Source organism: Homo sapiens, chromosome 10 (genome assembly GCF_000001405.40).
Source record: "Homo sapiens chromosome 10, GRCh38.p14 Primary Assembly".
Taxonomy (NCBI): Eukaryota; Metazoa; Chordata; class Mammalia; order Primates; family Hominidae; genus Homo; species Homo sapiens.
This window is the reverse complement of record NC_000010.11, coordinates 78397044-78422788: the sequence shown is the minus strand read 5'-3', so window position 1 is coordinate 78422788 and position 25745 is coordinate 78397044. Positions and strand designations below refer to the sequence as shown.

The 25745-nt window shown below is 50.3% G+C and overlaps 6 annotated features.

Moving 5' to 3' along the window:
• Window positions 1094-1593: an enhancer, noted in NCBI's record as "H3K4me1 hESC enhancer chr10:80180953-80181452 (GRCh37/hg19 assembly coordinates)". NCBI's record gives its function as "activates a minimal SCP1, AML or CMV promoter by ChIP-STARR-seq in naive H9 embryonic stem cells {active_cell/tissue: H9 hESC(naive)}" and the evidence as "EXISTENCE:reporter gene assay evidence [ECO:0000049][PMID:30033119]".
• Window positions 1594-2095: an enhancer, noted in NCBI's record as "H3K4me1 hESC enhancer chr10:80180451-80180952 (GRCh37/hg19 assembly coordinates)". NCBI's record gives its function as "activates a minimal SCP1, AML or CMV promoter by ChIP-STARR-seq in naive H9 embryonic stem cells {active_cell/tissue: H9 hESC(naive)}" and the evidence as "EXISTENCE:reporter gene assay evidence [ECO:0000049][PMID:30033119]".
• Window positions 13178-13989: an enhancer, noted in NCBI's record as "H3K27ac-H3K4me1 hESC enhancer chr10:80168557-80169368 (GRCh37/hg19 assembly coordinates)". NCBI's record gives its function as "activates a minimal SCP1, AML or CMV promoter by ChIP-STARR-seq in naive H9 embryonic stem cells {active_cell/tissue: H9 hESC(naive)}" and the evidence as "EXISTENCE:reporter gene assay evidence [ECO:0000049][PMID:30033119]".
• Window positions 14802-15613: an enhancer, noted in NCBI's record as "H3K27ac-H3K4me1 hESC enhancer chr10:80166933-80167744 (GRCh37/hg19 assembly coordinates)". NCBI's record gives its function as "activates a minimal SCP1, AML or CMV promoter by ChIP-STARR-seq in naive H9 embryonic stem cells {active_cell/tissue: H9 hESC(naive)}" and the evidence as "EXISTENCE:reporter gene assay evidence [ECO:0000049][PMID:30033119]".
• Window positions 14802-15757: a biological region, named in NCBI's record as "Sharpr-MPRA regulatory region 6049".
• Window positions 15463-15757: an enhancer, noted in NCBI's record as "tiled region #6049; HepG2 Activating non-DNase unmatched - State 4:PromP, and K562 Activating DNase unmatched - State 4:PromP". NCBI's record gives its function as "activates a minimal TATA promoter and a strong SV40 promoter by Sharpr-MPRA in HepG2 and K562 cells {active_cell/tissue: HepG2 | K562}" and the evidence as "EXISTENCE:reporter gene assay evidence [ECO:0000049][PMID:27701403]".

Here is a 25745-nt window from a genome sequence, read left to right as displayed (position 1 = left end):
GGATTTCACAATGTTAGCCAGGATGGTCTCGATCTCCCGACCTTGTGATCCGCCTGCCTCGGCCTCCCAAAGTGCTGGGATTACAGGCGTGAGCCATCGCGGCCAGCCCAGAGTGTTTTCTTTTTCCTCAAAACAACCAGTGATGACCGAGGGTTTCTCTGTGCCTAGACAGTGGCCAGGACTGTTGGTCTGTGTCGTTGAGCAGGTCACACTATTTGGGGAAATATCACATGCGTGTCTTTGATTACCATTTCACTTCTTTGACCCGTCTCTGCTGCAAAGGTGATGAATAGAGCTTTCAAGACATTGACTCAAAGCTCAGAGAAGAGAGCAGACCCAGGGAGGCCTCGAATGTCTGCTGCCAACGTCCACTGCCCCATCAGACCAGGGAGCCTGACATGCGTCAATCACATGTGTGACTCCCCCAGAGCCATTGCAGGGGGGCCCTAGGAGACCCCTCTGCTGGATGGATCAAAGCAGACTTTTCCTGCAATTATATTCACCTGGATGTGGGGAAAGGTGTAGGCCTCCGTTTCCACATCTGAAAATGGGGGTAATCATTGTATTTCTCATAGTCTTCCTGTGATGATTAAATGGGTGTAAATAATGCACATAAAGCACCTGATTTAGCACTTCAAAATGTTAGCTAATATGATATCTGTTCTTGGTATTCTCACCCTCATCTAAATGCAGATTCTACCTGCAAAGTTTCATTGGTTTTTTACCTGACTCAGAGCACATGATTACATAGTTCCAGGGCTGGAGAAGAGTCTTCTAGAGGTGCCCTATTCAGTCAAACCCCTTTATTCCACAAACGAAAGAACAATGAGACCCAGCAAGAGTCAAACTCTTAAAAAGGTCACATAGGAGTGTGTCCAGAGCCAAAAGAAGCCCCAGCCCACCCAGCCCTCAGGTCCCCACCACCCCACTGGCAATCAGCAGCTTCTCATACTGCAGACGTGGTAAGTCCAACAAGAATTTTGGTGTATTTTTTTTTTAAAAAAAGATTGATTTTGATGTTTTGAGGCTTCGTGAAACCAGCAATTTTAATCAATTTTTCAAAATTGCTAATTTCATCCATCCAAGGAACTCACACACAAACAGAAGGGCTGATTGAAATTTAAATGGCGGCTGGCGTGTTAGCTGCAGGCACAGGCTGGGTATTTTCATATGCAAGTCTGGAACTGTGTCCCGGCCTGCCAGCAAGAGGAAGCAATCTCCCCGAGACACTCAAAGGCATTAAGAATTCAGGCAGCCAAAATGAGAAGCAACAACAAGAAATGATAAAACAAAGACAGACCATTATTAGCGCCAACATAATGTGTTCCAGTGTCCTCAGATCTCATTTAGAGCCCGGTCCGTTGTCTGTTGAAACTGTAATTAGGCTGATAGGAACCAGAGGATTAAAGTAACTTTCTCCCCCCAGTTGCAGGGATTTCAAATGAGCGAGATGGGGAGGAGATAAACCTGAGAAAGATTTTAATATTCTAAGCCGCAGCTCCTGGGACAGCACAGGCTGACAAACAATGGCTGGTTCCTGCCGAGACAGCCGGGGGAGGGATGTGACCTCACTGCCTGCCCCTCCTCCAGGATGGGGAAGGTGAGTCCGCCCTGCTCCCCGCCAAACCTGGGGCACTGGCACCACCACCACCGTCCTTGACGCCTCCCTCTCCTTGACCCCTCACTGATCCATCCCTCCTCTCACTTCCCACATCCTCTTTTGGGACAGTTCCAACACACCAGTCTCGCCCCAGTTATTGCAAGGACCTCCTGACTGACCTGGGAGAGCCAGGAAGGCAGTAGCTCCCCTGCATCTTCCTTGCTTCAGCCTCTGGTGCCTTTAGTTAGATGCCGGTTTCCTCACCTCCATCGGGCCACCAGGTAACCTTTGCAACCACACACTTGATCTCGTCCCTTCTCTCTTTAAACCCATCCCATGATCCCTACCCCATCCAGAGAATAAAGACAAACCCTTGGCAAGGCACTGAAGTCTCTTCCTCACCTGTCTCCATGCTGCCTCTCTGGCCCCTCTTGTCTCAGGCTCTGGTCGCACAGGACCCCTTGTCTGCCCTAAATATGCTGCAGGCTTCACCCTCTGGCTGGTGCACATGCTGTCCTCTGGCCTAGAACACCCTACCACACTCCTTTATTTGGCAACATTCAAGCGGCCTTCACAGTCTTCCATACTCCTTCTTGGCAAAGTCTTGGCTAGAGCCCCTGCAGGAAGGAGTCCATCATTCCTTCTTCAGGGCACCCAGAGGACCCTGTTTAGACATGTGTCTTATTAGCCCTCCTCCAAGCTCTGCCCCTCCATGTTGCTGACCACACAGTGACCTTCCACTGGAATATAAGCTCTACAAGGGAAGGGACTAGACTGTGTTCACCCTGACATTGGTGAGACCCGGTGCTTGGCTAGAAACTCAGCATTAAAGTTTATGTCAACACCAATCACCTGGACATGTTATTTGGGACCCCAGGGGCAGGCAGCCTGGGGACTCCTACTGCCTCTCCCTGTATCTGCTTTTTCTGGAAATATTACCAACCTGGACAGGTTTTCTTGTGTGAGTCTGTAGACAGAGAGAGAGAAAGAGACAGAGAGAAGAGTGTGTGTGTGTGTGTGTGTGCGTGCGTGCACACACGTGTTCCCACGCGTGCCTGTAGTGGGTGTACACCCATAAGCACAGCAAATCCCAATGAGCTGGGTGAAGGGGAGTTCTCATGTCCTGGGTGAGGTGTTGACACAAGGCAGGGAAGAGTGGTTGCGTCACCCAGGACTAGAGGAACAGATCAGCCTCCAAATTTCCCACAGTCTTTGTACAAAATTTAATATTGCCTTGTCGAGTCCCTCATACTCCAAGCCCTCAAAGCCTCAAGAGCTGCTTGGAAGATGGCAGAAGAGCAGCATCCGACAGTCATTCCTCCAGTGTCCACTGGGGAACTGGGAAGTGACAGTCGTTGTTCTAAGCACTGGGTCCTTAATCTTCCTGTGCCTCAGTTTCCCCACCTGTGAAATAAGGGAGACTCTTTCATGGTGACAGCGTGTGCAGCTCTGACAGTGTGACCCTTATGAATGTCCCTTCAGGGTGTCACTGCCACATTTCCCCACGCAAGCCAGCAGGGCATGGCTTGACCTTGGAATAGGCTCTGTGACTGGTAATAGGGAATTCAGCCTTGAGGGGGCCCACCCAGGACTCGTCTGAACAGCTTCCCATCCCTGTATCAGATGATATGATACCCACAGAGGCCGTGGGAAGGGGCTGGAAGGGAGTTTTATCCTCACTTAACACTTGCGGAAACTGAAATCTAGAGGGGTAAAAACACCGAGCAGTTCATCCCCGGAGAGATCCTCACTAGGCCCCCAGCCACTTCCAACCTGCCCTCTTTTGCTTTTGTTTTTCTGCATAAAAAGCTCGTCGCCTTTGAGAGTTGTGGGAGATGACAGAAAGCAGCTAAGAACTGCTAGCTCGCTTTCCTGTTCTCTCCTAGAAAAGATAGAATTTCTTTGCTCAGAGAAAGAGCTGTGTAAATGTGAGTTTTCTTGCTATGTGGATTAGCCTGTTGTGTATGTGTGTTAGCATGTCCACCTGAGAGGGAGTGTGTGTGTGTGTGTGTGTGTGTGTGTGTGTGTGAAGGCAATTTGATGTAGGCTGTGTCTATAAAGCAAGTAGTCCTGTGGATATGTGGGTGAGAGGACACAGCAGGTGTATGTGGGTGTGTCACATGTAAGCATCATCGTGACTGTCTGTTCATACACGTGAGTGAGGATGTGTATAGATAGGTGTGTGGGCTTTTAAGAGTGTATCAATGGCCAGGCGTGGTGGCTCACGCCTGTAATCCCAGCACTTGGGGAGGCCGAGGCGGGCAGATCACCTGAGGTCAGGAGTTTGAGACCAGCCTGACCAACATGGAGAAACCCCATCTTTACTAAAAATACAAAATTAGCAAGGCATGGTGGCACATGCCTGTAATCCCAGCTACTCGGGAGGCTGAGGCAGGAGAATCGCTTGAACCCAAGAGGCAGAGGTTGAGGTGAGCCGAGATCGTGCCATTGCAATCCAGCCTGGGCAACAAGAGTGAAACTCTGTCAAAAAAAAAAAAGAGAGTGTATCCATGCAGATATATGTGTGTTCATTGTGTGCGTTGCCTATGTACATTGTGTTTGCAACTGGAGAGAGAAAGAAGCCACAAAATACACATCTTTCCTAGGATGAAAACCACAGCCTGATCCCAACCTCAAGAGTTGATGTTTTGTCCCCAGACCTCTGCCATATAAAGTCATCCTCATTTAGGCTACCTTATAACCCCGAACTTCAGACAAGTAACTTGCAGATCATGTTGCATGCTGTTCTCCGTGTCCTAAATGGGTTCATTGGCTTCATGGCACCAAGGAAACTGCTGTGAGTTCCTTTGAGTTCTAGTAGAGTTAGATTTGCTTGGAGTCAGGCCGACTTCAAGGCAGCTTCTTAATCTGTAACTGGAAGGACGATGTCTATATGGCAGGGCTGTGGTGAGGGTGCAGGGAGACGGCAGATGCGTGAGGCCCAAAGCCAGCACCCTGTGCATCGTAGGTGCTCAGCCTCCGTCCCCAGTGCTTCATCCCACATGACAGCCGAGGGGACTTGGCTTCAGCTGCCAAATGCTATTCACACTTGCTCCTCTGGTGCTGGACCAAACAGGCTTTGGCAGGGTCAGTGGGGGCCCACCTCCCCCACCCACAGCCCCCGTCATACATGCCCCATTAGTTGCACAGTGCCCCAAAGTACAACAGAAACGTTTCCTACGCCGTTTCCTCTGCTAAATGCCTCCATGACAGCTTCTTGGCAGGAGGAAAGCACCAAGGTTAACATATGTTAAGAACATGTGTTGCAGGTATCCCACCTCAGCATAGAGGCAAGAGGGGGCCTTACCTCATTGTGGCCTTTCCTGTTCCTGCAGCCCGTGCCGCTGACTTCCCAGGTGTCCCCTTGGCTTCTCCCGGGAAGCCACTGAGGAATCTCAGCCCAGACATATCTAGATGGTCATCTCTCTGTTCAGAACGCCTCACATGGCCTCCCTGCCCAGTGACCACTGGACTCAGCTAACACATCCTGCCGACAAGGACTTGCCACCACTGGGGATGTCAGTAGCCCTTAGGCACTCTCCATGGGCCAGGCTCTGAGTAGGCCCTGGGAATAGATTGTGAAAAAGACACAGCCACACCCCTGAAGGCCTGACAAGTTTCAACTCATATCATGGTGAGGGCAGGGATCACCTGTCCCCTCATAGTTTGAGCTCTGGTTTGCCAGCCTGTCCCAGTCCAAGGAAAGGCAATGATTGGATCATGTGGCAGGCCATGGTCTGTGGGTTTGTGGCTCTACAAAGTGCCTCTCTCTATTGTACTACAGTTTTACCTTCTTTACTTCCAAAATCCAGGAGCATCATACCTACATCACCACAGTAGTGTTGGCCCCAGAATCCCCTGTCTCCTGGAAACAGACTGGCCTTCCTAGAAGGGCAGTGATGGGGACTCCAGGTCCTCTGGAGCTCTGATATCATTTGGTCACTTTGCAGATGTGGAACTTGTGGCTTTGAGAGGGCACATGATTATCCCAAAGTCAACAGCTAAAGGAATCTCAGTCCTGATTTTGAATCTAAGTCAGCATGCTACAGCATCCCAGGGTTTGGCCAATGAAGTCAGGATGGATAGTGGCCTATCCAGGAGGTCAAGTTCAATAGTAGTTTTCACTGGGCATGCCGCTGAGAACACCCTCTTAAGCTGTTCCATTTATGAATTCCATATCTATTAGCATCCCACGAAATTCATCATTTAGATGAAAAAGCTCACTGAATCCATGCTGGGTGACCAGTCTGTGCTCAGAGCTGCCAGGCAGAGAACAGTGGAGATGGAGGGAACAAACAAGATGTTGTATTAACATTGAGCAATGCTAGCTGCTGCAGCAGAAAAAGCCCCAAATCTCAGAGACTTAAGATGATGGAGTTTGTTTCTTGCTCATATTACATGTCTAATGTAGGGCAGTGGGAAGCTCTAATCCACACAGATTCAGGGAACCAGGCTGACAGAGGATCTATCATCTTATAAGTGTAGCATCTGGATCACATGGCATCTGTAGTCATTGTGGCATGGAAGAAAGGAATGGAGAAGGACTTCTGCCAGCTCTTAACTGCCTCAGTCAGGAAGTGACACATGCCACTTCTGCTCACAGCCTACAGCTAGTCACACGGCCCCATCTTCCAGCAAGAAAGGCTGGAAACCTAGGAATGCACATGAGAGGTTTAATGAGTACTCACTCTCTCTGGCATAGACTTTTGGTCCCAGCCCTCCAGGGACTTACAAATTAGCCAAAGAGAAGAAAGAGGCCCACCAGGGAAGAGAAACTTGTCTGTGTTGGTTTGTGCAACACTGGTGATCAGAGGTGGAGGTCAGAGGAGGGAGAAGTCAGTGAGGAACGTAAAGATATTAATCATAGGGAAAATTGCCTGTAGGAGGTCAGCCTAGAAAGAAGTATTCACCAACACCAAAGTGGGGACAGACAGAACCTGTTTGACTAGTTTCTGAAGAAGGAAGATGGAGGCCAAGGACAGGGAGAATTTGGCCAGGTCCATGGAGCCAGAGAATGAGGCCCTTGGAAGACAAACCTGGGGAGTAAGGTTGGGAGGGGTGGGCAGTTAGGATAAAGCAGGCAATTAGCAAAGGTAAGGCTTGTGGCATCCCCAGGACAGGCTGGGAAGGATCAGAAGTAGGGACATATTGAAGGGCTCTTCGGGGAATCATGGAGAGAAGAGAGGAAGACAGAGGGGATGCCACTGAGCTGGTTAGACAGGAGAGGCATCTTGGAGGGAGCCAGAAGTCCTGAAAACAGTCACTCAGCTAGCAAGAAAATGCATCTGAGCCCATAAAATTTTGACCTCCATTCCACATAAGTTTCCGGAAAAGCTGCAGCATTAAACCCAATGGGAATGCCTGTTCAACAACTGCCCTGTAAATTAGATGATTTGATTTCAGAAGGTAAAATTACTTCTTGAAGTTAAATTCTTGGCTCTAGTTTGAAATCCTCTCAAGCAGGCTAGAACAGCTGGTTCATCCTTAATGGATGAAGTCAGGCACTCCCTTCCCCTCCCATCCACTTGAGAGGTGTAAGGACACACAAGGTTTCCCTTTTGATAGCACATCTCTCCCATGCACAGAGGAACAGATTGCACTAGGCTTGAGGGTTAAGGGGGAATGCCTGCAGACCTAGATTCTAGAAGGCAAGAGGGAGCAGGCAAACCTCCTCTGCAGAGGGTCCTCTTGCATTTCAGTCTGGCCTCTGTTCTGGTGCCAGTGATCCTCTTATGCCAAGTCCTGGACCGTGTCCTGAGGAATGTGGGAAAGTGGAGGGAAGGGTCCTAATGTCATGACCAGCAATGTACTTGCAGATGTTTGCTTGGAAGGTCCATGGTGTGGACTTCAATGGTCCAATTGGTTGATTAACATCATATGCTTGGCCCTGTGGGGTAAAATTCCAGCTCACAAGTGGGTTCATGGAATTCACTGGAAGGCCAAATTTTCTAACAGTTGAACTTATCCACCAATGGAGTGAATAGGAAAAGGACTTAAACTTATTCACCCTTAGGAAAAGGACTAGTGTCTCCATCACTGGAAAGCCCAGACAACCATCACTTACTCAGATGGCATAAAGAGGGGACAGGACCACATCTAAAGCCTGGGTAGTTCTGGCACACTAAGTTGCTTGTTTATAATCCTGGCTACCAGACAATTCTACAATTTGTAGTAAAGTAACTAGTCCATCTTGGTTTGCCCAGGACATTCCCAGTTTTAGTAATGAAGGTCCCATATCCCGGGAAATCCCTCAGCCCCCAGCACACAGGGACAACTGGTCACCCTACTTTGTAGGCCCATAGGTGACAACCTCATAACTCACCATGTTTCACTATTATTTGTTATAAATACCAGGTTTTGTAAAAAAAAAAAAAAGACTCAAACTTCTGGAAGACATTTTAAAAACTAAGAGTGGATTCAAGGCTGTCCACACATGAACCTTATTCTGACCTACATGCATCTTAATATGCCTTTTAGTGGGGGACAGAAAGAGGCAAAACACCATGCCAGGAGGCTGCATTCCCAGCAGCTGTAATGAGCAGCCGATGCTGATGAGCCGAGGGTGCATTCCTAGAGTTACCATCTCAAAGCACACTTCATCTTAATAAGGAAGTGCCACCCACGAAGGATTCTTGCCAAAAGAATAGGGCCTGAACCCAAGCCTTTGGACCTAACACTTAGCGTAAGGAAATACCAGGATAGAGGAAAGAGTTCAACACCACCACAAGAAGGGCACCAACCAAATCCCAAATGCAGGGTGCCCCATGGAACAATGAACCCATATTCTTCACCAAGTCAACAGCATGAGAAATAAAGAGGGTCAGGGGAGGCTGATCTGTTCAGAGCTATAAAAACCAACTGCGGAGACAGGGCTGAGTCTGAACTTGATTCAAAGTAACTAGGGTGGGGGGTAGACATCTTTTCTGGAATAACAGGAACATTTGATTAAGGATCATGCATTCGAGTACTCTACTCATTTCCCTCTGAATTATGAGATTTTTTTTTCCAGCCTAGCTGGTGGGAACAGAAACTATTCACACCCCTGTGGGTCCTCCACGCTGTTCCCTCAAACCCTTTTAGCGGGTTTTCTTTCCTGGTCTCAGGTAATTTCCTTACATGTATGTGCTGACCAGAACTCTGCTGAGTACTTGGTGGAGTCTCTGCAGCTCTCTAGAGGTGTGTGTGTGAGTGTGTGTGTGTGTATGTCTTGTCTCCAGTACTCTGTCCTGTGTTCCATCCTGTGAACTCTCGCCACCTGGGTGTCCCTTCACTCTCAGCTCCATCTCATCAAATCAGGGAGTCCACTGGGCTCCATTTGGGTCCCCCTCCCTGTGCTGCAGCGTAGGAACTCTCTCTCCAGGCAGGTGCCTGGGGCCATCCCAGGGCTCACCTCCTTGTTTCCCATCTCTGAGAAATCACAGTAGTTCACTTCCTGAGGCCCACTGTCTTGAAAACTGTGGGTTCATAGATTTTGTCTATTTGTTGCTGTTGCTGACATTGTTGCTGCTATTTCAGGCAGGAAGCTGGAGACAGTTCCTGTGATCCCACTTTGGCCAAAAGTGAAGTCCTCCCAGTGGTTTCATCAGGTGGACGGTGCAGGAATGACGGCGTTGCCTTCACAGACAAGGACCTGGCACTCTGAGAACGGAGCAGCCTGCCTGTGCAGTTAGCCCCAGGCTCCCATTTCAGGGCCCTTTCCACTGGAGAAGTCTCCTCAGGTAGGTTCCTAGGCAAGCATCATGTTCGGCAGGGGGGCTGCCCTGCTGGGCAGAGGCACATTCTAGCACTTCCCACTAGGGTCTAAAGAGCTGGCACTAGCCTGTGCTATTTGTGAGTTTCCATCAGCGTTTTTTTCCCTGTTATCAACACTAAATAAAATAAACATTTGTCTGACTTGAGGTTTTTGGCTTTCACGGACTGTTTCCCATCTGTCTCTTTTCTCCTTCCCCCTGCCCTATTCCCTGACTCTCATTCTCAGCTCCTACCTTCCCCCCACACTACAACACCATTCCCACTCACCCCCCAACACACACATGTGCACGCGCACACACATGCTGGACTGTGTTCTTTGTTTCAGGAAGCACTTGTAGTCTCTTTCCTGTCTTCGCACTTCTTTGCTTTTTTTTTTTTTGCCCTTTTGTCCCATATCATACTCTTTTCTGAGTATCTTCGTATTCTGGCATCAAGCATGAGAATTCTAATGCCAACTCTGCTCTTGCTGTGTGACCTTGGACAAGGTGCAAAAAACCCTCTAAGCTTTTATTTTCTCTGAGTCGTAAATCCCCATTAGGTATTGAGGACATGGGCATGGAGATTTGTCCTGGAACCACTTCCTGCTGACCAACAGAGGTGGCGTGGTGTGAGGCACACCTGGTCTGGAAGTCCGAGTTCCAACCCCAGCATGGCTGCTCCCTGACTGTGTGGCCCTGCATAAGTCACTAGACCTCTCTGAGCTTCCAGTTTCTAATCTGTAAAGGGGAGGCCATTGTTCCTGCTAGCATTAGAGGACAGGACTGAAAGCTCTCTGCCTTCCTTTCTGGGAAGGAATATTTATGGGGTCCTGGCTGCACGTAGACACATGTGACATGAATGATCCCCATCAAACGGGCTCAGGAAAGGGAGGGTCTCTCTGAGGACACAGCCCCTGGCCTAACACCTTCCTGTGACCTGGTTCACACCACCTACTGGCCCAATCTGCCTGACTTGAAGAACTATGTAAACCCACAGTTCACAGCTATATAATTATTCTCTTTCTGATCATAGAGGTAGTTCATGTTTACTTTAGAAAATTGAAAAGATACAGTAGAGCATATTAAGGAAAATTAAAAATAGTCCATAATCCCTTCATCCAGAGATAACCAATACATTTTGGTTAATTTTCTTTCTTTCAGTTTATATATATTAACACACATAAGTACACATATTTTGAAATTATATACAGGAAGGATAACATATGGTGGTGAGATTTTCATAAGCCACATAGGCATGTATACAAAATATATAATTTTCATTATTTTTCTATCACTGAACTTCATTCCTCTCTTGAGCCTCATTCTCCCTGAAAGCAGAAATTTCCACTCTAGTCAATCCTGGATAAATTCAGTCACTTCAAGTTTTTTCTTTGGTAAATGCAGATTACAACTCAGTCAACTGAGAATTTTTCTCCCTCCATCTGGTCCTTCCTGAAAGGCTTGTCTAAGTTGCCGGTGAGGATGGGGTGGGGGGCTTTGGGCAGCAATGGAGAGTTGATGTCTGGTCAGCTGTCCTGCCCTGGCACTCGGCTGTGGTCATCACAGAACTCTCTATGGCCTTGCTGACCCAGGCCCCTCAGTCCACTCTGTGTCACCCTGCAGCATCCCCTCCTCATAGCCACAAGGCCTCTGCATGGGCCACCACCTCCTCTTTATGTGACCTCTCCACTAATACACACTCTGTTTAAAGGGCCAGAGAATTGAGCTGCCTCAGGTGTCACACAGGGTTGTGGGAGAGGTGAAGGAGCTGAGGTATGCAGAATAAGGGAAATATACTGGTTACTCCCTTACAAGGCCCATGCACTGTTATCAATACGTCTACCTCTCCATCTAGCTCCTCCCATCCCTATTTACTGATTATGGTAACAAACACTTCATTAGTGATTACTAGAGGCCACACATTGTTCTAGGTGCTCTGTGTGTAATAACTCACTTTGTCCTCGCAATAACCCTGTCAAGTATTGTGATTACCCCTATGTTACAGAAGGGGAAACTGAGGCCCAGAGAGCTTAGGCATCTCATCCCAAATCACAGAACCAGGATGCCCCAAACAGCAGAACTCAGCACCCACACTCCAGTCATGACCTCCAAGCCTCCCCAGTTTACGTGCCCTGCCTCCACAGACACACGCACACATGTGACATGCATGCACACACCACATTTCACATCCTGCTTTTTCATTTAAGATTATAGGACTACAGCATTGTTCTTAAATTAGGGTTCCAGTGAGGCCTGTGGGAAGGGTCGGAGTTGCAGATTCACTCATTTTCCCCTTGTTTGGCCAACCAATATGAAGCACCCACTTGCTGTTGGGGGCTGATGGTATGGAGCAAAATTAAGCATGATCCTCGCCCAGGCAAATCCATGCCTCTGAAGGGGTATCTGGGCATGGAGATAAATGAGGCCTCCCTGGTAATATGGGATGGGATGGTCATCGGGGCCTATCTCACAATGCTGGTGTGCAGATGAGATTAGATAAAGTATGTAAGTGCTCAGCTACGAGACTCCATGTGGCATTGGATAAATATCAGCTATTAACAGTATTTTAAAATGTCACCACCCCAATGAGCTGGAGCAAAGAAAAGAGCTCATGCTTCCCTGAACAGGCCGGATAGAGGGGTTACAAAGGGGGACATCGTGGGAGCCAGCACAGGAGCGCAGAAACTCCCAGACAAGGGACCCGCCCACAGCATGAGCAAGGCCGGCCAGAGAGCCCTCTGCAATGGGTGCCACAGCACCCAAAATCCACTACCATTTGCCAGCTCCCCTCAATGTTAAAATGCAAATGTTCCCCAAAGGGTGGCCCATCAAGGAATCCAAGAAAATCATCTCAGGGCACATGGCATCTTCCCCACTCTCCTCCTGAGACACTGAAGGGAAAGGGACTCGCGTCTCCCGGTTCCCAGACCCATCGCATCGCCTCCATTCTTGGCTCATGCATGCTTTCCTTCATCCATGTAATCCACAAACATTTTGGGAAACTGAAAATGAATGGGCTGTAGAATTTGCCCTCCAGGATCTCATGGTCTGGAGAAGGCAAAGGGCCCCAGAGGCCTGTCCCATGGTACTCCCTTCGGTCACTTCACACCCAGTGGCCTAGGATGCTGAAGGAGCCCAGGGTAGGGGAGAGGTCTCCTCCTTAAAGATGGGCTCCAACGTGGCCTGACTGGGGAAGCTTCTGGGACCAAGGCACAGAGGAGGGAAGGCAGGGACTGAGATGGAGAAGATCAGCCTGGAGCATGGAAAGAGCAGTGAGGACCTCGGCTAGGGGGGCAGTGTGGAGAGCCAAGAAAGCCATGCAGAGTTGTCCCATCAAATTTTCAAGCAAGAGAAAGAGGATGATTGAGTAGTCACGGGCATTGGAGAGAGGCTCTGCCAGGAGGGGAGTCTGCCAGGAGAGGACAGTGGATAGGCACCGAGGACTGCCACCTCTCCCACCTTCTGGGCTCCAGGTATCTACAGATAACACTGCTCATCCACACAAGGGACCAGAACAGAGGGCTGAGACCCTGTCCCCCACAAAGACCTCAAGCTGGGTAGTATACAGGGCCCTCGTTCCTTATCACATAGTCCCTTATATCCCTGCCAACTCTTCTGAGACACCCTGCCCCTGGTACCTGGACCCTATTTGTGGGCACCCTAGCTAACATAAACCCACCTGGCATCTATACATGTAGCACCTACACTGAGCTGAGCCAGCTCCACCTCAGTAAGATGCATTGCACTCCTAGGGAGTCAGGGAGTGGAGGGGGCAGGGGCATGGAGGTTGCTGTGGGACCAGAAGACCTAGGACCCCCTCCTGTGCTGTTAAGGTGGGAACTGGGCTCTGGACCCCAACTGCCTGGCTTCAAACCTGGCTCAGCCACACATGGCTGATTGACTGAGAAGTTCTCAACCTCATAGCACCTCCATTGTCTCAATCTTAACTGACAGTCAAGATCCCCATCTCGCAGGGATGTGGAGTGACTCTCTTGGGTGATGGGAGTTGTAGAACACAGGCCAGCAAGGTCTCTGCGCCGAGCCTCCATCCCTGTGCAGCATGAATGGAGACGGTGCACCTGGTCATGCCTCCTAAAGGATGACACTTCCATGCAGGTCCCCTCCCTAGAGGCGGCTAACAGGCATTGGTGTGAGTTCCCAGCCCAGCCCACACAACTAGGAGGAGTTGGTCCCCTGTGTGGATTAGGGGGCGCTAACAACCATGCTCCTGTTTTTAAGCCAGGGCCATGCAGACAGAGGTCATTTGCTGGGTCCCTTCAGGCCTCCATGAAGTTGGTCTTCCTGCTGCTGAGAAGTGCTTGACACAGAATGCCTGGAACCCCGCCAGACGCTCAGACTGAGCCTGCTTGGCACCAGCACCTGGGAAAGAAAGCCACAGAGCGGAGACAGTTCCCAGAAACTGGAGACCCAGGGCTTCTGATAAGGCCAGGCTGCTTTCCTGAGCCTGCCAGCCAGCCCCAAAACACACACAGGCAGGGGAGAGGGCACTGTTTGTGGCACGTCCAGGCCAAGAGAGGCCATCTCAGAGCCCCTGAGAACGGATGTGTCGACACTGGGGAGGCACAAGCCAGCTCCCTGCCTTCCCACAGTAGCTTGGGACTGTGCAGGGCTCTGGGGCATTGGCCAAGACTCACCCAGGACAAGGGAGCTCCATGGCAGGGGAGCAGGGGGGAGCTGCCCCTGCCTGTCCACAGAGCCAGCTCCCATCCCACGTCTTTGTCCTCAGAGCAACTGCTTGTGGGAAGCTGGCCACAGATCAGCATCCCTGGGCAACACCCAAGGAAATGGAGGCTCAGAGAAGGAGGGCAAATTGCTCAAGGTCACACCAGTAACAAGCCAGGACTCAAGGCTGGTCTCCAGCTTCACCCCTCAATGACTTCCTCCTTGTCTCGTGGCCAACCCCTTCTAGTCCTCCTGACCTGGTGTTAAGGCCACCGAGAGCTTTATGTGATTTGCTGAGATGAGTGGGATGAGCACCTGAGAGTGACGAAGAGGACATGAGTTCCAGTCCTGGTTATGCCACTGAGCAGCTGCACAGCCCTGGGCAAGTTTATTTCCCTCTCTGGTCTGTCTCTGTTACATAGGAATGATACCAGGCACCAACCACACTGACTGGGCTGCGGCAGAGCGCAGGAGCCCAGGTACAGACCGGCCTGGCCACCATCACTTCCTCGTGCTCGGTGTTCAGATACAGAACCAGCTGGGGATGACGTCAAGCTCATATTTCCTCTGCAGGCCACAGTGAGCCCAGCCACCCATCTTTCTGTGTATCCGTTTTGTTGCCTGTAGATGGTCTCAGTGAAGCTCAGGAGGTAGCATGTGTGAAATGCCCTCGGGAGGGGTAGCTGTTAGCATACACATTGCCCCATTTGAGATGGCTGAGTAATCGCATTTGATTTCTCCAGGTCATAAGTATGACAAACATCGCATGGTACCATGTTTAATATTTAAAAGGTTGTCCTGGGCTGAGACCACCCCATACCCAGCCCCTGAGCTAGGTGAGGTAAGTGAGGGGGTGGGTAAGGTAAACAGAATCATCTTCAGTTTTCTCCACTTATAAAACTGAACACAAAGACCTACACCACCAGAGATGACTGAGCAAGCCTTGAAACCAGGATCCCAGTGCCTCAGAGTACACGGGGAGGACCCAGGGGTGCACCAGCTTCACACCCACAGGCAGAGGTACCCAGGGGTGCACTGTCTTGACATCCACAGGAAGGAGTGCCCAGGGGTGCCCCAACCTCACATCCACAGGAAGGGGGACTCAGGAGTTCACGAGCTTCGCGCCCACAGGGAGGGACCCCCAGGAGGGAGTGAACTGGCTTCATGCACACTGGCTGCTGGAAAGGGGAGTTCTTCAGAGCAGCTTCACAATGAGCTAATCTGGAGAGGGAGAACTACCAAATCCCCCAAAGTCGAACAGGCAGGCCCAGTCAAAGCCCCTCCCCCAGCCCCCAGTGGCTCAAGCCCGACTGGCAGCCATGGAAACGGGGCAGGAATGTTTCCCGGCTGCAGGCTCTGGCCGGGAAGCCTGAGACTGCCCTGCCGCCCCCGCAACATCCAGCCAGGTGGGGTCGATCACGGATGCTGTGAAGAGGCCCAGCTGGGCCCTCCCTTGTCTCCCTAGGTGGAAATCAGGCCTGTTATTGCCCTGGATCGTGTCTGGTATTTTGATACCGTGAGAGATCTTGCGGGAGGAGAACAGGAGAGAGCTGGGGAGGGACTCAGCGAACCTGGGAGTGGTGGGTGGAGCTAGGCAGTTCATTGGCCTCTAGGTGTGTCAATCACCGCTCCTCTGCAATGATGAGCAGAGAAGCGGCAGAAAGGAGGGCAGGCACCTAGGAGGCATCTTAAGAAAAAGACCTGCTTCTGGGAGCTGTCGGGAAGATCAGAAGGGATGCGGACAGGCTCTGGAGAGAGGATGTGAGCAAATGCATGGTCGCTGTTCCTAGACCTGCCCGAAATGAAACGTTAGTACAGAAGCCTTCCCCAGCATGAGGTAGCTTTGCCAGCCACGCCATCGCTGCGGTGAGGCATCCCTGGGACTGGCCCCCTCCCTTACCCAGGGGCTCTAGCCAGCGACCTAGGAGTCCTCTGACACCCCGTCTTCCTCACCTGCCTGCCACAGCCAACATTCCATCAAGCACTGATGAATTCTCCTATTCTCTGTCTCTGGACTCCATCCAGTTTCCCCGGCCTCACTGCCACCCTCCCAGCCCACACCACACCATCTCCTACCTGAACACGGCCCTCACTTTGAACCTTCTTGGATTTCCCCCAAGACTTCTATAATCCATCTCACTCCCCTATTCCACAGGCGCTCCCCACTGCTGTTCCATAAGGGCAGGGGCGGTATTCATTCTCCTCACTCCAGGGTCCCCCAAGACTAAGCGCATTGCCCAATATCCTAGGAGGCATTGCAAGAAAGAATTTGCTGAACAAGAATTTGTTAAATGAATGAAAGGAAAGCAGGAAGGGAGAAAAGAAAGGAGCAAGGGCTCCTTGCCGAAGGGAAGTTAGACCTCCAAAGAGCAGAGTAAAGGGAGCCGGGAGGGTTGGTGAGCGCCGGGACAGCCACAACAATTTGTTCCCCCCCTTTTACCCCAGGGGGTTAAAATCTTGCTGCACCAGGATGGGGTTGTCCTTTCTCAGAGCCTGGGAATGAAACATGATAAGGGGTCTCCAAGGTCACCCAGTCCCTTCTCCTTCCGTGGGAGCCTCTCTGCAGAGCCTAGATGGGCAGTTAGGTCTTCTGCTCAGCCACCTCCAGTGACAAGGTAGTCACTCCCCATCATGATCACCCATGTGAAGTAGCCTCTGCCTCCCCAGAACTGGAACCATCCCAAAGAGAAGGATTAGGAGCATGGGCAAAGTCCAGCAATGCACTCAGCCACCCGGTATCCTCAGGGTGGAAACCAGCTCTCCAGCCCCCGGGTCTCCTCCCCTTGGAGAACCCTTGCACTGCTCTATCAGGAATCGGCATTCCCTCCCCACTCAGCCTGGCTGTCTGCTCTGGCCTCGCACCAGTCGCTTAATGCCACTCCTTGAGTTTGGAGCCCAGAACTAAACACGCCTCTCCCAGGAGTCTTGAAGGGAAACCAGCCAAATGTGAAGGAAGCTGAAGAGGACAATGAATGTGCCCATGCTCATTCCAGGGATGGACTTCATTAGCTGGAGAAAGAGATATTTTCTAGAGCTGCCACTGGGCTTGGCGAAGGCCAGTCTCAGGCAGGGGTTGGGGCTTGTCCCATGCCCCATACTAAGGATCTATCATCTTGATTTTCCAAGCCCACCATCAAGGTCCATCTGGAAAGAATGGAGAAAAGCCTGAACTAGGAACGTGTTATGACCCCACCTGTTTCTCTTCCGTCCCTGAAAGCAGCGCCTCTACCCCACATTCCCTCCCATGAAAACAGACTCTCAGGAGAGACGATGGACCTCAGTCTGCCTGGGGTAGGTGATTAATAACATTGTAATGCATCATCCTTCCAGAGGGATTGGCACTGGCAGGATCCAGGATTTAAGCTAAAGTAGCAAAGCAATAATGAGGGGATTTCAGGCCCTGACCAGCAGCTGGGGATGAAGCACAGCCCTGGGAATCTTCCCAGTATCTTTGAGACCATTCATAAGTCATCAACAGTAGAGATGCCGGCCTGGGTTTTTTCAGGTTGGCCACTTGCTTGCTGTGTGGACACATCACTGAACCTTTCTGACCGAGTTTCATCTGTGCAATGTGGATAATACTTCTACTCTCATCAAATTGTTGTGAAGAGCAAATGAAATAATGGAGGTCAGCCACCTGGCACAGAATGGGTGCTCCATCACCATTTCCTTGCTTCCGTCTTCCATGTACTAAGCATCTAGACCATTTTCATGGAGTAGACCATACAGGGACCAGGATGTAGGGTGTGTGTAAAGGCATTATACCTGTGCACTTGAAACTAGTTATTCCCCACAGTCTGAGGAAACTAGACCTTGAAACAGTCCCAACCTTCCCTCTGTCTTTTGCCCCAGAGCAGTGTGCAAATTGAAGAAAGCATCTCAGAGGCTAGTGGGCCTTACAATGGAGATCATGTGGTTCCCACCTCCAAGTCCGTTCCTCTACATCCTGAGAAATCATAGGCTGGGGGCTCTCTGGAGTCACCCTTTGGAGACAGAGAAGTGGTCAGCAGTCACTTCTTCCTCCAGTTGGCACCAAGTCCAACTTGGTGTTGTTTATCTGTTGCCACCATAAAGCTTGGTGACTTCAAACAAACATTTATCACCATCTCTCATGTTTCTGCGGGTTTACTGGGTTCAGCTGAGCAGCTCACGCACCAGGTCTCACATGGGATTGCAGTCAGATGTCCACTGGGGCTGGCATCATCTGAAGGTTTGGCCCATCTGGGTATCCCAAAAGGCTCACTCACGTGGCTGGGCTGTTGCAGGGAACTCAGCCGAGGCTGTCCACCAGAGCACCTACACATGGCCTCTTCTATGGCTTTGCCATCTCATAGTATGGAGGCTGGCTTCCCAGAAGGAGCATCCCAAGAGAGAATTCTAAAGGCCCCGGGCAGAAGCTGCAAAGCTTCTTATGGCTTAACCTTGGAAGTCTCAGAACATCCCTTCCATCCCACTGTATTGATCAAGTAGGCTCAAGCCCACATTCAAGGTGGGGGAGATGGGAGTCTGCATCTTCATGGGGGAGGGGCAAGTTCACACTGCAGAAGGAAATGTGGCATGGTGACAGTGTGGTGAGCATCTCTGGAAAGTTCTATGTTTCATGTGCATCAACCTACCCCTCCCAGGCAACAGAACGCGTGCTAACTGGGGAGAAGAGTAAGCACTGTCCAAAGAGTCGGACCAGGCCATATCTTGCAGCTGCCTGGGGCCAGCCAGCTGTCACTTATACCAACAAAGTAGCAGCTAAGTCCCAACAGGCTGCTAGTGTCTCCCCATCTGCTTTAAGGGTTGTAGTAAGGACAAAAGGAGATTAGCAGCTTCTTCATTCTAATCTGGCAAGCATTCACCAAGCATCTTGTTCATTCATTCCTTCAACAACTGTTTGTTGTGGGTCTACTCATGCCAGCCCAGAGAGGACTCCGACATGGCCAGAGGACACTGAGTTCAATGGAAGACATATGCTTACTCGGGCGGTTACAACACACTGCTTAGCACAGAAGACCTGGGGTAGACAGTCAATGGGAGAGGTCACAGGAGGGGCTGGCTTTGGCTAGAGAAGGAGAAATCAAGGAAGGATTCTCTACCTTCAAATACAAATTGAAGGGCCTCTTGAAGAACCCATGTAGGACTCCAGGGAGGTAAGGAGGAGAGAGGAGAGGTCCCCCAGGATCAGCAGAGGATGAGAAGCTGTGGCAAGTTTAGCAAATGGCAGGCCATCTGCAGTGTCTGTAAGGTAGAGAGGAGAAAAGTGGGCATGGCCATTTGGAAAGGTGATCAAGAGGAGGAAAGCAGGGGTCTGAAGGTCATGGAAAGGTTTGAACTTTCAACGGAGCCTCTGAATGACTTTACTATGATCAGACTGACCTAGAAAGATCGCTAAGGTTGTGTGATGGAGATAGCCTAGAAGAAGGTGACTCAAGAGGTAGCACAACCGAGTCATTATGATTTTGTTACTTATGGACTAGATTCCAGGCCCTATTTCACACTCTTTGCACTCATTAACCTATTGAACTTCATGCCAACTATATAAATTAGGGACTGCTGTCATCCCCCACCCTCCTTTATTTATTTATTTTTTTGAGACGTAGTTTCACTCTTTTTGCCCAGGCTGGAGTGCAATGGCGCAATCTCAGTCACTGCAACCTCTGCCTCTCAGGTTCAAGCGATTCTCCTGCCTCATCGCCCCGAGTAGCTGGGATTACAGGCACCCGACACCACGCCCAGCTAATTTTTTGTATTTTTAGTAGAGACGGGGTTTCACTATGTTGATCAGGCTGGTCGCAGCACAGAGAAGGTAAGTTTCTTGCCCTAAATCAGAACCCAAAGGAGTGGTCGAGCTGAGAGCTGAGCCAAGGCAGTCTGGCTGCAGGGTTTTCCTGCTCCACCACGTGGCTTGCCCTGCTGTGGCTGTCATCCAGGCAGAGACATGACAGGGTCTTTGCAAAGGGCATCAGAGAGGCAGGGGCCATGCTTCCTGTCCCTGACTGAGTGCCCAGGGGCTGAACTAGAGGCTGGCAGGGAATGACTACATGTGAGCACATGAATAAAGAAGAGGCAAGGCCCAAGCGCCCATTATAAGCCTCTGCATCACTGAGATTCTTAACAGTCTTTTCTTTTTCCTTTTCTTAGACACAGGATGTCAATCTGTCACCCAGGCTAGAATTCACTGCAGCCTCAAACGCCAAGGCTCAAGTGATCCTCCCACTCAGCCTCCCAAGTAGCTGGGATACATGTTTAGTCCTAGCCGATTTTTTAGAAAAAAAATTTTTAGAGTCGGGGTCTTGCTCAGGCTGGTCTCAAATTCCTGGCCTCTAGCGATCCTCCTGCCTCTGCCTCCCAAAGCGTTGAGGTTACAGGAGTGAGCCACTGTGGCTGGCCTAACTTCCTTTTCTTGAAGCAACATGACCAGTAGCTATCTGGCTGCTTGTCTCAGTGGCTGCACCCGCTGTCGACCCAGCTCACCAAGTGCTGGGGGCATTGACTGAGAAATGAGGCACTAGGCCGGCCTGCAGGCTGATGAGCCAGCCTCCGCAGACATGCACAGACAGACCCTGTCTGCCGCAGCATCCCAGAAACCCTGAACAAGGCCCCCTGCCTCATCACCCTCCGTCCACCACCATCCCTTCCTGTCCCCTGCTGAGTGCAGCAACTAAAGCCCCTGCTGAAGCTCGTGTTAGGATTCAGAGCAAGAAGCCCCTGCTGGAAGGCTGCTGGCAGCCAAAGTGAGCTGGGAAGGCGTCGCTTTGGAGCACACAGGGGGCCTGCCAAGAATTTCCTGAAGGGCTGGTGCTGAGAGAAGCAAAACAGATGCTTACTGGGGACAAGTTGCACTTCACAAACAGCTAGCACCATCCCGGTCCTGGGGACACAGGGAGAGGCACTCATTGGCATTGGAACTGGAGGTGCTCAAATTGTCCTTTCGTTAAATCCTCAGTCACTGTCCTGCCTGTCACATGACTCCAGCAAAAGCTCAGCTCTCTCTGGCTTGCTGCTCTCCTGTGTTCTTTCTTGCAAGAAGTGCTGGGGTGGCCTAATGCACCAGGCATTGACCTCCTGATCATCTGCTCTGTGACCCAAGCTTTTGCACACCACCTCGTCCCCCTGCCGCCTGGCATTTAGCTCTCCTAATGAGCAAGGGCATGAAGGAGGTGTAATCAGCCCCATACAGCAGGGCAACAGGTAGGGAAGATGAGAAAGTGAAGTAACTTGGCTCAGCAAATATTCAGTAGAGTCAGGATTTCAAACCCAGATGTTCTGACTCCAAGGCCGGTGCTCTGCCTCCCTCATGCCTTTCTTTTTTTTTCACATTATAACAAGATTATAGTTTATAGTTTGCTAATTTTTTACAAACTGAATATCCCCATTTAACCAACACTTGGATCAAGAAATAAGTACATCACTGCATATGATGTATACATGTGCATCATATATGTATATGTATGTATATGTATGTGATATGTCTACGTATATGATGTAGATGGTCTCCAATATACGATAGTTTGACGTACTGATTATTTTATTTTATGATGGTGAGAAAGTGATACATGGTCAGTAGAAACTGGACTTCAAGAAGGCCTGGCACAATGGTTCACACCTGTAATCCCAGCACTTTGGGAGGCCAAGGTGGATGGATCACTTGAGGTCAGGAGTTCAAGACCAGCCTGGTCAACATGGTGAAGCCCCATCTCTACTAAAAATACAAAAGATTAGCCACGTGTGGTGGTGTGCACCTGTAATCCAAGCTACTCGGGAGGCTGAGGCAAGAGGATCGCTTGAACCCAGGAAGCAGAGGTAGCAGTGAGCCAAGATCGCACAACTGCACTCCATCCTGGGCGACAAAGCGAGACTCCATCTCAAAAACAAAAAAAAAAAGAAAAAAGAAACTGGACTTAAAATACCTATGCAACCATTCTGTTTTTCAGTTTCAGTACAGTATTCAACTACACCTCATGCCTATCTTTCTCATGATACCATTCTGGCCGAAGACCTTACCAAAGGTCAGGCTTCAGGCCAACGGACAAGGAGAAGGACCGCTGCAGAGAAAGGCCCCTGCAAGGAGAAAAGTGAAACAGAGGGCTTGGTGTTGGTAAGCCACGAGTACCCCAGCAGGTCAGAGCTTCCTTCTTGAGGAAAACAGCATGGAGGAGTCATGGAGGAGTAATGGAGGAGGCTAAGAGGTGACTTTTTCATCCTCAACCAGTCACCTGGACTAGTGATCAGAAGCCTGCAAAGCATGGCCAAGCAGAAGGTCTACTGAAAAGCCAGGAGCTTATCACCTCAGTCCTGGGGGCATTTACTGCATGGGCCATTCACCTATTTCTTTGAAGGAAGTTCTGTATCTTCAAGCAACAGAGGCACTAGGAGAGAAGACAGACCTAGATTTTATATCTGAGCTCATGAAGCAGAGTATAGGTATACAAAAATACAAGAGGCAAGTTTCAGAATCTGCTAAAATACATATCCCCAAATCTAACCCTTTTATATTCTTAGATACTCCTGGGCGAGATGCCACCAAGCAGCTTCCACCAGACCTATAGATCTTCCCTGTCATGTCAGTCTGACCCTGGGACCACATTTGGCTCCTGGGATGCTGTCCAAGGTCACCTGCTGGGGACATTGATGGACCAGGCAGGAAGCAGTGTGGCATACAGCAGCAGTGGTGGGAGCTCTTAAGCCAAGGTTCCCTGCGTCTGTTTCTGTGCCCAGCATATTGCAGCCACACAGCAGTGTGAACCTGGCCAAGTGTCTTTGTCTCATGCCTTGCTCCATTCTCCATCTCAAAGATTCCTCTGGGCACTGACATTCAGTGATTCTTATCACACAAGGCCCTGGCCAACCCTGAATCTCCAGAGAGATGTCCAGGGAGGAGACTCTGTAGGCTGAACCCACGGCATCAGCCTGCCAGAGATTGAGGCAGGCTGGTCCAGGGGCTGGCCAGGGTGACACCCATCTTGTCCAGCTGGCCACTTGAGCTGAGACACAGACTCCCCAGGGCCTGAAGGAACCAAGCAGCATGGTCTTGATTTTTTAAATTTATAAAATAGGATTTTATTTCTTTGTTTTATCGTAAAACCATATTAACTGTGTGGAGATGAGAGAGCCTATGTCAAGCCCCAACAATTATGTGTCCCCACCTTTCCTGTCCTTTCTGGTTACCCACTTTTCCACATGATGAGTGGAATGGCTGTTGTAAGGAGTTTGGGATGGGGAAGCCTTCTTGAAGATCTACCCCTGGCTGGTTTTGGACCACGGACAGGTCATCAGATTCTCACAACCCATGAAAAGGCCAAGCCAGGGTTATCAGATCCACAGATTAGTCAGAGTTCCTTTGGCTGCTACAAAAACTCAAGTTCACCAGCTCTCTCAAAAAAGAGGGGAGGTCCAGGTACAGTGGGATTCAGGCACCCAAGCACCCTAGGATGCTTTATCTAACCTCCATCTCTTTCTCTGACAGCTGACTTTATTCTTCCAGTTTCAGCTTTTCAGGAGGTTGAAATACTAGTCACAGGCATCTCTGGCTTATATCTAAACAGCTTTGTATGAAAAAGGATAACAAGCTCTTTTGGGCCAGCTCAAGTGGCAAAAAGTCCCAGGGAAAGGATCTGATTGGCCTGGCTTGGGGTCCATGGCCCCCATGGTCACTAGGAGGAGCAGATGGTCAGGACAGGAGAACGCAAGGTTAAGGGCTGGAGCAAAGACAGTAGCCACCACACCCAAGTTGGCAAAGCAGACTGGCTAAGGCCTAAAGAGGGTAAAGAGTGAGGAAAGACTCTGAAAAGTGGCAAATGTCACTGGGGCACTAGTGGACTATGCCAGCAGGTGCCATGGTTGGCATGGAGGAGGCTGCGGTCTCCTGGGTGCTGGGCCAGTCTGTCAGAGGCATACGAATCAGCCCCTCTCTCAAGTGTTCCCAAAACTGTGTTCCCAAAGTGGTGACCAGAATGAGGACAACTTTTATTTTCCCAATTTCATCATCTACAAGTTCCCCAGAGTCTGAATAGAGCAGCCCAGGGAAGAGGCTGCCACAGTCCTGCCCCAGTCCTGTCTGCAAGTGAGCAAAGGAAAGATTTCTGAGCAGAAAGTGTCATGGGCCAGATCACGCTGGTGGAGAGGTTGTGGTGGGTACAGAGGTGTGGCACAGCGAGGGCTCACAGGCTGGCTTCTCAGGATTCCTGAGCACCCTCTGCTGCTGGCTCCAGGGCAGGTGCAGCTAGAGCAAGGGTCTGCACCTCTGTGCTAGTGTGTCCTGATCAGAGAGAAGTAGAACCACCAGGAGGCTGCTCACTTCTTGTTTCTCCTACCAACTAACCAACATTCAGACACATTCCTCTCTCTACCTCTTGTTAATTCTCCTTGCCCAAAGGGCATTGGCTTTCAACTTGCCAGAAGCAGTGGGGTGCAGTGGAAAGACCACGAGTCCAGAACCAGGAACCATGTTTCTATTCTGCCTCCAATTTGCTGGGTGACCTAAAGCAGAAGTCATTCCCTCTCTGGACCTTGTCCACTTTCTCTGCAAACCAATGGAGGTGGACCAGTCAGTGTCTGAGGGCTTCCCAACTTTTTCTGGGAGGACACGATGTAGTTGGGCCTGGCATTGCTATGTTTAACCTGTCTCCATCTCCTTTCTCTACCACTTATCAACTCTGCCACACTTACTTCCAGCATTTCCAGCATTAGCTCCTTGCAAGCTTAGCCGCCCTACAGACCAGCCACAGGCTATCACATTAGCTTGGCAATGATGAAAGGGAGAGATATATCATAGTAACACTCTACCCTGTCACCCTGCCAAACCTCAGGGCAGGAAGCATCTGAGCTTAGAGAAGCTATAGACCAGCTCAGCTAACAGAAGGCCTCTCTCCTAGCAAGGGCTCTCGTCCAGGGTTTGGTGAATCAAGCAGTCTCCAAAGATATGCATTACAGGGGCAACACACTTGAGGTTGTTCTTGTTCTAAAGCACCCATTGTACAGATGACAACATCAAGCCCCAAAGAAGGGAGATGACTTGCCCAAGGTCATATAACAAGTCAACGTCAGAGCCAAAGCTCAATTCTAGGTTTCCTAAGCCTTGAATCTGGGCTAAACTCTGGGCTAAAACCAAAGCTACCTTCTGGATAGACCATTATACAACCAGAGAGCATGCCAACCCTCCCCCCTTTTCTCTTTTGTCTTGCTCCAGAATGTACTCCATTTGCTTCAATCAGGCTGAGCTTCTTCCCATACCTTTTTTCCTGCTGTTGCTCCTGCCTGGCTCTCCATACCCTGAAGGCTTTGCGCATGCAGATTCTCCCTGCAGAACTCACCTACCTCCTTGACTTTCAAGACACCTTCCCTGACTCCTGCAGCTCTTGGTAATTTCTCCAATGACTTGGCATCACACTCAGGGTAAAAGCCACAGTGCTTACCATGGCCCATCTGACTTCGTGGCCTGGTCCCTGCCTAACTCTTCAGCTCCTCTCCCCATCTCAGCTCCCTTCTACCCTGGCCACGCTGGCTCTCCTACGGTCCCCCATCCCCTGCAGTGTGTTCCCACCCAGGGCCTGGTGCCTACTGTCCTCCCCAGCTCTCCACACAGCTCACCCTGCACTTAATTCTGTCCCTATGTCACCTCCCCAGAAAGGCCTTCCCCACCATCCCATTGAATCTGACATTGTACCCCTGAACTTTGTATCCTAAGGCTAATTCATTTTCTTTCAAAGGACTTGTGATTGCCTGAAATTATATTAAGTATTTGG